We start from the raw sequence: 13,287 nt of genomic DNA, 5'->3' as shown, positions 1-13,287 counted from the left end.
TCACAGAGGAGCAGCTTGATGGGAGGGGTCCACTCTCATCTGTTATGTAAGAGGTGGGGGGTGGGGCAGGACTGTTTATGGGATGAGGGTGTTTCAATCATCAACATTTAATGTTTGCATATTACATGTGACTTTTGATGTGGCATGGAGGAAGGTGGCATGTGTCAGGGGCTATTGAAGACATCTAGAGTGAATGATGACAAGCACAGGACCCAGCACAGAATAACCATTGATTTATTGAGCATCTACTATGCATCAGATATTCTTCTGGCTCCTGAGGATATACTGGGGTTTTGAGACAAACAAGATCCACAGTTGGGGCTAATGGGAGCTTCCACGTCTGTGGCACCTGAATTAGGCAATCCGTTTTGTGAGTATAGTAAGATTGATTCTGTGTTTAATGCTTGCTGCACTCTCCTATGAGGACTGTGCTCTTCCAAGCTTGTCTGATAGCTGGAGATACTGAATCCTGATGGAGATAAGCACACTACCTAGGACTACACAATAATTGCAGAGTGTAGATACCCCAGATGAGTCTTTTCAGTATCAGAAGGTGGGGCACACCCTGGGATGAGGAGTGGGGAGCAATCCAAGTAATTTTCTCTGACAAATAGCATGTCCCTGGCCTGGACCATTTTCTCCTGGGCTGGATGGACTTGCTGCCAGGCATCTTAAAGGTGCTGTTTAGCCTTTGACAGTCTGATGATGCCAACATCAGTGAGAAACGATGGTGCAGAAAACCTAAAACAAAACAGCCACTTTGTTTAGTTGAAGAGGTTTGAATATAGTAACAAATCCTGATTGTTTGCCAAGTTTTTTTTTCACAGATGTTTCATTTTAGAACAGTTTTAGGTTTACAGAATTATCCCAAGGATCGTACAGAGAGTTCCTTTTTCCTCACTCTGCTTCCTCTATTATTTCCCTATTATTAACACCTTAAATGAGTACGGTACATTTGTCACAAATAATGAACCAATATTAATACATTATTATTAACCAAAGTCTATACTTTATTCTGATTTCTGTAGTTTTTTTTTTTTTCTGTTCCAGGATCCCATCCAGGAAACCACATTGCACTTGGTAGTCACGTCTCCCTGGCCTCCTCCTGCCTATGAGTCAGGCTTTTTTGAGGGGGTTTGATGACCTTGACAGTTTTGGGGCATGCTGGTCAGTTATTTTGTAGAACGTTCCTCAGTTGGGGTTTGTCTGATGTTTTTCCTATAATCAGATTGGGTATGTTTTGGAGGGGAAGACCACAGAGGTAAAGTGATCTTCCCCTCCAAAACATATCACCCAAGTTAATCACAGGATCATAATCTTCTTATCACATCCTATCAAGGGTGCATACAGGTAGTCATGCTGGGTTTCTACCCTGGAAAACTTCTCTTTTCTTTCTGCCTTTCCATACTATACTCTTGAAAGAAGATCACTATGCACAGCCCACACTTAAGGAGTGAAGAGCTGTTCTCTACTCCATAAGGGTGGAGTAACAAAGTCAATGATTTGAAATTCTTCAGCATGTGAGATTTGTGTCTTGTATCCACTTATTTATACCCTTCAGACAGACTGGTAGCGAAGCTAACTGTCCCCCATCTCTCTGCCCTCTCCCACCTCCTGGTTACCCTTAGTACCAGTGTTCTTTGTTCTCTGGGGCTGCAGCTGGGCCCAGACAAGCATGGTTGACTCAAGCCCATAGTCACTGTCACTTCTGTGATGACAGCCGTGATATGCCCTCAGATGCTCAGGAAGCCAGATTCTTGTCATCAAATCAGGGGACAACGAGCAGATGAGCTAATGAGTTGGGAAACAAGGCAACATTCCACTGCTGAAGTGAAGTGCCCTGGTGTTGAAATAATGGGCAAATTGAGGTCTGTGGTCCCAACTCCCTTCCCTGGATGGGGCGTCTGATGAACTGGAGGCCCTTTTGTTTGCCCAGCATCCTGATGGGTTGCAAATGTGGGCATAAAAGCTGGAGTGTAGTCAAATTGTTCAACACATAGGAGTTGAGGCAATTGACATTTCCAGAGCAGAGACCACTGGGACAGCTGCTGAGTGGAGAAAGGGGCCTGACACATGGGATTTGGAGAACAGAATGTCCAGTGTGGATGTTTTCGTTCTTGTGTCTTCAAGACAACCCCATTCTCTCCTCTCTAGAGAAGTCCAGGCTGATGATTAAAGTTGTCTGGGGAGCAGGAAAGACTCGAAGATGTGCCAGGTTCTGTGTCCAGGTGGAGGTGCGGAGACAGATAGCACATATGAACACTGGCAGCAGAGAATGCACCAATGGCTGCTATTTGGGCTGTGGGAATGATAATCACCCCTATAGCTGTAGAGTCTTCCACTTTTCTACCCACTGTGACAATGATCTTCCCAGGATTCTAAGTCAACCCGGTGAGGTAAGCAGGGGAGACAGTGCAGATGAGGAGATTGGGGCACAGAGAAGCTGCTGCCTGCCCAGAGTCACTGGTCACTGTTGTCTGGACACCCTATTCACTGCCCCTTTCCTTCTTCTACACCACAACCATCTATCCCCCTTTTTTTGGCCCCTGAGAAAGAGCCCAATTGCTTATTGCGCAGGGAACAGCAACTTTCAAGTTGGAAAATTCTGCTCAAGTCCAGGGCTCTAAAGAACATGCCCAACAAGGCAATCCACTTAAAATGCAAATTCCACTGACATTAATAAGCAATATATATACACATGCATTTACACATGCAAATGAGCAGCACGGAGCGCAGGACTTCCCTCCATTACACTCTGCACGGGATAACTACGTTCAAGACATTTCATCAGAGTGGAGCTGAGAGGCTGTCTCCCACCTCCCCTCCTCAGGCTCGGTCCTTCTGAGGTACACCTGGCTCTGCAGAAGCCAGAGCACCGCCCAAGTTCAAGGCTCCCTCTTAAGCTGGCTGGTGTGGCATAAGTCAGGCCACCTCTCTAAGCCTCAGTTGCTTGTCTTGCTGATCTTTCCCTACCTACCTGCTGAAACCTCTCTCAACCTTCAAGGTCCAGACGGATCTTCCAGAAACTCCTTAGTCATCATTGCAGCCCACACCTGAAGTCAGAACACCTGCTCTCATTCAGCCATCTTGGACTCACTGTTTAGCACTGACCCCATCATTGCCAAAACAGACCCTTCTCTGGAAAACCTCTACGTTCCTAACACCATCAAGCTTTCCCTTCAAAGGGTTTGAGATTCCTGGCAGGCAGAGAATATTTGGGGACTTTGCCTTTGGTATCCGCAGCCTAGGGACAGGGGTGAACAAAATCGATTCTCATAGGAAGGTGAGAGATGCTGATTATACTCAGGTGCACAGATATTCATCTGGAACATCAGGACATGCCCTTGTTTGTCCAACCATTTAAAGTTTCAGTAACACCTATCTCCATTCTCTTACTGTCACGACTTTTGTGGGGTCCTTTTGAATGGAAATCTTTCTAAATTACTCACACATTCGGCTGCCTTCCTAAGAGATGCTTGGCTCCAAGGTGCTTGTGATAAACATCGTTTGTTAGAGGTCTGTGTGACAACGTGGATGCTCTTGGGACCAGCAGGGTTCACAGCTCTCTCAGCCCCTACTCTCAATGATCCCATTTAGTTTTTTAATAAACTTCCCTAGACCTTTTAGGAAGAGGGGATGAGGAAGGCAATAGAATAATTACTACTATCTCATTTGTGAATAAATAAGTGTATGTATAAAAATGGCCAGAATTATACACACCAATATTATAGAAGTTATCTCTTGATGATGGTTCACAAGCTTTTTCTGTATACCAATAATTATTTTTCTTAAGTGGGAGGATCACCTGAGCCCAGGGAGGCTGAGGCTGCAGTGAGCTATGATCACACCACTGCACTTCAACCTTGGTGACAGAGCGAGACCTTGTCTTGAAGATAAATATTTTTCTACCACATGCATTTGAATGTTGGCATGGCATTTCATTATATGGATGTACCATAAGTTGCAGAACTTGTTTCCCAGTTGCTTTTCTCTGCTATAAATAATGCTCTGATAAACCTTGTACACGCATCTCTGTACACATTTAGAATAATTTCTAGATGTGGAACTGCTGGATCAAAGGGCATGCATATGGAAAGCTTTTTATACCTGATTTCAAATCACCCTCTAGCACTCTTGTACTGTTACTTCCACAGGGGTGTTTGCGGTTTCAGCCTCTAACAGCTAATGTCCCACCTCTCTTGCCCCATTGTGAGTCTGGTAGGAGGGTGTGTCCCCTGGCCCTGTGGCACCGTTTTTCTCTCTCCTTTCAGTACCTGCACTTCTATGTGCACAGCCGACTCCCAATAAATATTTGTGGCTTATTGAATGAGAGCTCCATCTCCCCAGCCCCAGCCCACCTCCTGGCACTCCCGGTGCAAGCCTGTCCTCCTCCTCCAACAGAGGCAGATAATAGATGACTACGAGCCCGCCTCAGCCTCGGCCTCCATGTGGTGATGAGGGGCAGGATAAATGCGAAGCGAATGGCAATATTTCCTGAAAGCAGGAAAAGGCAGAATCTATCACTCCACACCAGAGTCCCTGTAGCCTGCGAAGGCGCTGTCAGTGACAGAGTGCTGAGGAGGAGCATGGGGTCCAGGCTGGGGGCTGGGGCTGGGGCCACGGAGGGGGCAGGCAGCAGGACCAGGATGCCAAGGGGCAGGCTCAGTCCCCATCTCTGAGCAGGAAGGAGATTTGCAACCACCTGAGGTAAAACTAAAAATGAGAAGTTTCTGTGCAATCAGTTCCTGGCTCACCACATTCAGAGGCAGGTGTGGGTGGAGGACATGGGAGAAAAAAGGAGGGGAGGCAGACAGCCCTGTTAGATGAAGACCAAGGGCAAATTCACACCTCTGGGGCTTGCTCTGGTGTTTTATTTAACTCCTCCCTCCTCCCTTGCCCACTACCCACCATCCTTTCATCCTCAGGCCCCCCGTCGCCGGGACCCCAGGTGAGATTGGGAGGCTGGCTGGATACTGCTGATCTCCAACTAATCACAGCTGGAGATGGCTTGCCTTCCCGTGGGGGCCATTCCTGCAGCGGAAAGACTGGGCTTCTTTATCCCCAGGCTGCAGTGACCAGCACCGACTCAGAACTTGGACTCTGGCAGCAAGGCTTCCAAAGCTTTGGGGAGGGGACACCTCCAATCCCTTCTGACTGCTGCAGGTCCTGAGCTGGTCTTTGTAGGAGACTGATTGCGTTTGTGGCCTTGCGAATGGCTTCCCTCTATCCAGGCCCTGAAGTCATGACCTCCCACACTCCCCAGGAGGTTGCTTTGGTCCATGGTCGTAACTTTGACTCAAGCACAACTTGAAAAAGTGCTTGTGCATTTCCACCACACACCTATGCTCCCACTATGAGAACATGCCTAGGCGAGCCTGCTAGAGTGATGCGAGAGGCACCTGAAGGGGAGCCAAGGCGTCAAAGCCCAGATCCTGGGCCAGCCCACCATGGGCCAGCTCACGAGCTGATCACAAACGCCTTAGTAATTCCACATGAGATCAGTCGAACCCAGTCCAGTTGTCCTGTAGACGCATGATCAATAATAAATGCTTGTTTTAAGCCACTGAGACTTGGGATGTTTGGCATACAGCAATAGCTAACTGATACATCTCCCTTACTTATACATTAAAAGCCATTCCAGAGATCAGCCTGAAAGCAGTCAGCCTGGGCCCTAGAATCTGTGTAACTAGAGGGGGGCAGGGGTTCACACTATGTCTCTGATGCCCAACTTTCCATTTATGAAATGAGCCTGGAGTTGTCCTATGAAGACCCAGGAAAGTAAAGCAGGAACTGAGAGTTGCTAAAATCCTTTTCAATTCTACCTATTCCCCGTGTTTCAGATTTGATTGGTTTTCATTAAATTGCTCATCATAAAGATAACAAACCAAGTAAGAGTATAGAAAAACATTCCACTTCACTGCACCACTGCCTCCTACCACCTCCCCTGCTTGTCCCCACTCTGATCTCATTCCCTAGAGGTCACCATCATTAACAATTTGCTGTGGAACCTGCCAGATCATTTTCAATGCACACACATACAAACTGTAGATATAGTTATTTATTTTACAAAAATAGAATAATAAAATAGTGTTCGGAGACCTTCCTCTATTACTTAAAGGACCTCTGACAAGTCTCTCTCATTCTTTTTAATAGCTGTATAGTATTCCAGGGTATGTACATGCTATTTATTTATTTATTTTTGAGATAGGGTCTTACTCTGTCATCCAGGCTGGTGTGCAGTAGCATGATCACAGTTCACTGCAGCCTCAACCTCCTGGGTTCAAGCAATCCTCCCACCTCAGCCTTCCAAGTAGCTGAGCCTACAAGTGTGCACCACCACACCTGGCTGATTTTTTTTTTTTTTTTGATAGAGAAGGTCTCACTACATTGTCCAGGCTGATCTCAAACTCCTGGGCTTAAAGTGATCCTCTTGCCTTGGCTTCTCAAAGTGCTGGGATTACAGGTGTGAGCCACCATGCCTGGCCTGGATGTGCTGTACTTTAACTACATCCCTCATAGACACTTAGACTGGCTCGAATTTTGTTAGTATAACTGAAAGGAACTTCTTTGTATGTAACATCTTTGTGCATATATGGTGATACTGATATTTCTGTGGGGTACATGCCTAGCAGTGGAACTGGTCAAGGTTCATGCCCACCCTTCATGTTTAATGCATATTGCCAAACTCGTCTCTGAAAAGAGTGGACAGCCTGAGAATGTCTCTCTCCCCACACCCTCACCAACCCTGGCTGGTATCAATCTTGTAAACTTTTTGCCAATCTGATGGGGAAAGAATAATACCTTGTCTGAAATTATGTTTTATTACAAATGAGATAGAAATAGTTTTAGTTATTTATTGGCAATATGCATGTATTTTTTGGTGAACTGCCTGTTGGTATAATTTGACTGTTTTCTCTGTCAGCTTGTGATTGCTTTCTTATTGAATATGGCACGGCTTTATATATTATGGCTATAAACTCTTTTGTCATATCTATCCCAAATTTTCCTAAATTCATCATGGGTCTAGCTCTTCGACAATCCCATTAAAAACCCAGAACTATGGGTCTTAATTCATTCTCCAGGCATTTACTGTCTCTTTGTTTATTTACTTTATTTTTATTTATTTATTTATTTATTTATTTATTTATTTATTTATTTATTTATTTTGAGATGGAGTCTTGCTATGTTGCCCAGGCTGGAGCGCAATGGTGTGATCTTGGCTCACTGCAACCTCCACCTCCCGGGTTCCAGCGATTCACCCACTCCAGCCTCCCAAATAACTGGGATTACAAGAGACCACCACCACGCCTGGCTAATTTTTGTATTTTTAGTAGGGACGGGGTTATGCCATGTTGGCCAGGCTGGTCTTGAACTCCTGACCTCAGGTGATCTGCCCGCCTCAGCCTCGCAAAGTGCTGGAATTGCAGGCGTGAGCCACCACGCCCAGCATGTCTCTTTGTTGAAACACTGTAGTTGGACGATGGAAACCTTGGAACTATGTGGATAAGGAAGGCATGAGGAACTCACTCTCCCAACTCATTTGCACCCCTACCAGCAGCCCTAGAGGACTTGAATTTCTTTCTGAAATTTGCTCTGGGGCTTTTAGGGTTGGGGGTTATAGCAAACACTTTTCATAACCTCTCTGTCCACCTGTACCTGTAGCCTCAACCTCCTGGGTTCAAGCAATCTTCCCACCTGTACCTGTCTGTGCTGGCAGCCTTCTACCTCAAGCACCTGGGGTTCTCTGATGTTTTGCTTCTGATCATTCCCCAGTGCCTTAAGAGCTTGCACAGCCTGTGCAACCTATGCACTGAGCACCCTAAAGTGCTGGGAATTCAATACTGTGAATTTAATAACCCTCCGCCAAGGCAGGGCAAGTCTGAGGATAAAGGCTTCAGCTCCCCCATCCTTTGGAGGGGGACAGTCTCAAAGCATGTTCTCCATGATTCCTGAGTGGGTCCCCAGCTTCTTGGTATCCCTCTCCAAATAAGCTACCTGCAACCAAGTCCTTGTCCCAGGGTCTCCTTTGGAGAGAACCACACTAAGACAGGAGAGCAAAGCCATCTGTGAATTTCATAGTGCCTTGGTATAAACTCTGATAAAACGGTGATTTTTCCCAAGTCTCAGAGTTGGCACTGGGGTAGGCTTTACTCCTCTACATGAACGAGTCTTCCCCTGCAGACACAAGCAAGCACGCTTTGACCTCCCTTTCTGTTCTCCTGCAACCCACTGAGAAAAAGAGAAGGTTCCTGGGTAAACAGCCAAGGCTACGATTTCCCAAACTCCCAACAGGTCTCAGCACCAGGGAAGAGGGTGTGGCAGCGGGGATGAAGAGCCAGGCCTTGTGCTGACAGAGAGACCCCCAGAAAGCTGGGTCTTTTCTCAGCCAGCCATAGGAGGGACAGCACTTAGGTCAACAGGTGTCCCAGAGACACACAGCCCCCTCCTGTGAAGGCCTAACCTTAACTGGATAGCCAGAAGAGTAGAGGCTGTGGCAGTAGCTACCACATCCCAAGCCTGGGGTCCTCCAAGCAAAATTCATTCACCAGTCCTTCCTAAACAAGATTACTGGGAACCTTTCGCATGAGACAATGCAGAGGACATTCATCCATGAATTCAAACTACTGCATTATAATCAAACAGCAGCACCAGCTGGATCTCCAAGAACCACAGGCCGGAACCACTTCACCGGGAGGTCTGGAGAACAAAGACAGAGTGAAGAGTTACCAAGTGGCACTGGTTTAGGATTCCAAGTCCCGGAAAGGGGCTTCTTCTTGCACGAACTTCATTCCAAGACAAGAAACTTGGGTTACAATGATGTAGGATATCCAGCTTTGGCCAGCGTCTCGCCTGATTCCGTAGGGGTGGTGGCAGTTTCAGGGTCTAAGGTGTTTTTTCCAGGCTGTGTTTGACCGCAGCATCCAGGCTCCCTAAGCTGTAACCAGCCTGTTTTCTTCCCTCTTTATCCGCCTGGCAAGGTTCCTTTCCCTGTCCCCGCCCCCTTCCACTCCTCCCTAGCTTAGGGAACCTAAACTTCCCTTTACTTTATGATGCAGAACAGGCCAATGTTTCTTTGTCTCAATCTTCTCCCATCTAGACGGTACCCAGAGGCCAACAGGCCCATTAAGGTGTTTTCTTAAACAAAAGAACGAGTAAATCTTCCATTGCCTGCGAGTAAAAGGCTCAGAGTATGGCCAGCTTTTAAAATAACGGTTTCTGGTTTTCTCCGCAACAACACCTGTAAAGCACTTACCAGCTGCCTGGCACTGAGCCAGCCCTCGACGCGGGAAGCTCTCGCTAAGAGAAGCAGGTGGGAACTCCGAGGGGAGAGGCCGGCAGGCCGGCCTGGGGATGTGGCGCCCTGGGGTACTGGCCAGACAGGAGGCCTCTGGCACAGCCCCGGAAGACCCAATGGGGGCACACGGGGAATCAGAGGCCCTGGTCCGGTGACAGACACAGAGCCGGGAGGTGGAAAGGAGGCGCCGGATGGATCCTTGGAGTCCAACCCCTCTTTCCTTTTTCTCGGGGGACTCCAGTTGGCTTGTGGGAATCTCCTGGAAGCCTTGCCAGGAAGCCAACTTCTCTGAAGCCAAAGGAAGATCTTAGGAATCACCAGCTCCCCTGCCCAGGCCAAAGCCAGCGGTCTCCGTTGGAACTCGGGTAGGAGGAGGCTCGGGTGACCTTGAGCAGGCCACCTCTCTTCTCCTGATCTCCAGCTGGCCTGGAGCTCCCTGGCTGAGAAACTGACGGTCTGAGAAGGAAGGAAAAGGAAGCAGAGCTGGGATCCACCCTGGAGAGAAGCCGACGAGCCCCCTCAGTCCCTGCAGAACCCAGGCCACCACCGGGCGGCAAGCATCTGCCGCCTAATTGCGGACGGCAGGCGGGACCAGCAGGGCGGAGCGGGGCGGGGAGGGAGGCAGCGAGGGTGGCTGCACGCGGGGCCCAAGAATCTGCCCGCCTCTTTAATGAGGAAGTAATTCAGTTAGCTCGGATTTCCCGGTCAGCAGCTTTTATTAAATGCTGGCGCAGCCACGCCATTAGGGACATGAAGAGAAGCTCGGGAACCAGTGGAGATGGGGGGCGGGGGGAGAGCAAGCGGGAGAGCGAGGTAAGTTGTTAAGCAGGTTAGGAGCGGGGAGAACCGGCGAAATAAAGAAGAGAGAAAGCGCGCCATGGGGCGGCGAGAAGGAAACGAAGCGCAAACAGCCCAGCAAAGGCGGCGAAGGCAGGGCTGCGGGTCCGGGCGCCTCTGTTGTGTCCGCGCAGCGTAATCAGGTGCGAATGCAATCCCGCCTCCCTTGAAAGGCCCTCCTCATTCCCTCCACTCGCTGCAGAACCAAGATGTATACTAGTCACGCTGAAATAAATCATAACGCAGGTAGTCTGAGGTTCGCAGTCTCCCAGCCACGAAGTCAAAGTGATGTGCTTGGCCACAGCACTCAGCGAGGCACTGCTGGGGCCTGCCCCGCTCCTCTGGGCAAGGATGCAAGGTGAGGGATTGCCATAAAACACAAAAACCCAACATGATTGTGCAGTTGTAAGTACTTTTGTTTGTATCAACTCTCAGTGGTCATGTTAAGGCATTATTGTCCCTATATTATAGGTGAGGAAACTGGGTCAGAAGGGTAAATCAGGGTCAGCAACCTATGGTCCATGGGCTAAATGTGGCCCACCTCCTGTTCGTGTCAATAAAGTTTTATTGGCATACAGCAACACCCACTCCTTTATAGATAGTCCATGGCTGTGTTTGAGCTACAAGGGCAGAGTTGAGTAGCTATGACTGAGACTATGTGGTCCATAAAGCCTAAAGGACTTACTGTCCAGCTCTTGGCAGAGTATGTTTGCCGATCCCTGGATTAAACAGCCTGTTCAATTACAGAACCAGAAAGAGACAGACCGGGTGCCCAATCCAGCTTTATTCCTGAAGTTCTGCGACAATGGGGGGCCTTAAAAGGCCCCAAATGGGTCAGGACAAGGAGCACAGTGTACTAGGGGGAGAGAAGAGGTCAACCAGCTGGCCTGGTGCACCTCAATGCTGGATGGTGAGAGGGGAAGGTGCGGAGGACCCAGGCCATGCAGGGTGGTGTACAGGAAGCATAGTTATCTTAACTGTTCAGCAGCAGCCTTACCTGCCAGAACTCAGCCTTTTTTGGCCGGAGAGTGATGGACTAAGATCTCAGCTCTTGCAGCACCCATTCCTGGAGACTGGAGAGGGGCTCCATGAACCTGGAGCCAGCTAGACCAGGCCTGTGGGTGGAGGCTGGCAGGTTTCCCTGTATTCTCGTCCATTCCTCTTTCAGGCCAGCGGGCCTCCTCTGAACTGGACTTTGCTTCAGGCATTCCTTCAGGCTGTGTGATTAATGCTCAGTGGAAGCCTGAGAGGGCAGAGGGTGAGAGGAAGGACAACAGGGACTGCCTGCCTCCCATCCCTGATGGACGGGCAGGGCTCGCGGGCTGTGTTGGCGCTCCTGCTGGTGGTAATCACATCTGAGGAGCTTGGAACCCAGGAAATGCAATGAGCCCATCTGGAAAACTGTGGGCTGAAGCACCTCCCAGGTCGGGGAACAACTGCCCTCCTGAAACATGCAGTCTGGCAAAAGGGATAGGTTAGGGGGAGGAGGAGTCAACTCAAAAAAAAACCTCCAATGTGCTTGGCTATCCTGGCCAGTTAACTCCATACACTATTGCTAATGATGTTAGTGTATACTGTGAATAATCGTAAACTATAAAATTACGTATCATTTCATTCATTCAGGAAGTGCTGTTTGGGCACCTACCACATGCCAGGCACCGTTCTGGTCTTGGAGGACACAGTCGTGAGCAAACAAGTCCCTGACCCTGAAAATTACCTTCCAGAAAGGGAGACCAAACATCCCACTGCATCCAAATAACATATGATCTAATTTCAGGATGCAGAAGTATTAGGAAGAAACCAGGCAGGGAAGGGGCTAGAGCCAAGACCTGAGGAAAGCAAAGGAGTGATCATGCAAAAACATAAGGAAAGGTGTTCCAGGCAGAGGGAACGGTCAATGCGAAGGCCGCGAGTTTGGGAAGAGCTTGGTGTGTCTGAGGAACATGGGAAAAGAGTGGGTCGTCTGGAGGCAGTGGGAGAGGAGGTACAGAAATCAGCAGGGGACAGGTCGCGCAGAGTGTAGAGGCCATGGAAGGTCTTCGGCTATCACTGAGTCAAGAAGAAGCCCTTGGAGAAGGGAAATGGAGCTGGAGCACATAGGCAGTTTTGGAGGAGTTTTTCTATAGAGGAGCAGAAAGATGGGGTACTGGCCAGAGAGGGGAGAGGGCTGGGAAGAGATTGTTTTTCTTATTTTTAAAGAGGGAGCTGGGCGGGGCACGGTGGCTCACTCCTGTAATCCCAGCACTTTGGGAGGCTGAGGCAGGCAGATCACGAGGTCAGGAGTTCAAGACCAGCCTGACCAATATGGTGAAACCCTGTCTCTACTAAAAATACAAAAAAAATTAGCCAGATGTGGTGGTGGGCTCTAAGTAGTCCCAGCTACTCAGGAGACTGAGGCAGGAGAACTGCTTGAACCCAGGAGGCGGAGGTTGCAGTGAGCTAGGATCACACCACTACACTCCAGCCTGGGCAACAGAGCAAGACTCCATCTCAAAAAAAAAAAAAGAGGGAGCTATTAATGCGTGTTTATGGGTTGGTGAAATGGCCCAGGAGAGAGGAAGACAACAATGACGCCAAAGAGAGGGGGACAATTATAGTAGAAAGTTCTGTGTAGACAAGAAAAGCCAGGAACAGCCCACATGCTCCTGCCGTCTGTTCCAGGAACGTATCTACGTTTCCTGCTTGCATCTGTACAACGTCCCCATTTGGAGGGTGACACCACGCACTGAGATTTTTGTGGGATTATTCCCAATGATGCCTTTCTCCTGATGTAATTATGAAGAATTTTTATAAGTGTCCCAGTTTGGACAATAAATTAGGTGGTCGTTCTATCTATGAGGTAGGTAGTTTTTTTATTTTGTTTTGTTTTTTTGTTTGTTTGGAGACAGTCTCTCTCTCTTGTCCAGGCTGGAGTGCAGTGGTGCAATCTCAGCTCACTGCAACATCTGCCTCCCAGCCTTACTTGATCCTCCTGCCTCAGCCTCCTGAGTAGCTAGGACTACAGGTGTGAACCACCACACCTGGCTAATTTTTTGTATTTTTGATAGAGATGGGATTTTACCATTGCCCAGGCTGGTCTTGAACTCCTGAGCTCAAGCAATCCACCTGCCTTGGCCTCTCAAAGTGGTGGGATTACAGGTGTGAGCCACCGCGCC

The 13,287-nt window shown here is 48.6% G+C and overlaps 2 annotated features.

Moving 5' to 3' along the window:
- Positions 1,087–1,287: a silencer, noted in NCBI's record as "peak2991 fragment used in MPRA reporter construct". NCBI's record gives its function as "represses an SCP1 promoter by STARR-seq MPRAs in K562 erythroleukemia cells {active_cell/tissue: K562}" and the evidence as "EXISTENCE:reporter gene assay evidence [ECO:0000049][PMID:32103011]".
- Positions 5,313–5,814: an enhancer, noted in NCBI's record as "H3K4me1 hESC enhancer chr17:71902449-71902950 (GRCh37/hg19 assembly coordinates)". NCBI's record gives its function as "activates a minimal SCP1, AML or CMV promoter by ChIP-STARR-seq in naive H9 embryonic stem cells {active_cell/tissue: H9 hESC(naive)}" and the evidence as "EXISTENCE:reporter gene assay evidence [ECO:0000049][PMID:30033119]".

Source organism: Homo sapiens, chromosome 17 (assembly GCF_000001405.40).
Source record: "Homo sapiens chromosome 17, GRCh38.p14 Primary Assembly".
Lineage (NCBI taxonomy): Eukaryota > Metazoa > Chordata > Mammalia > Primates > Hominidae > Homo > Homo sapiens.
This window is presented reverse-complemented; position numbering and strand designations above follow the sequence as displayed.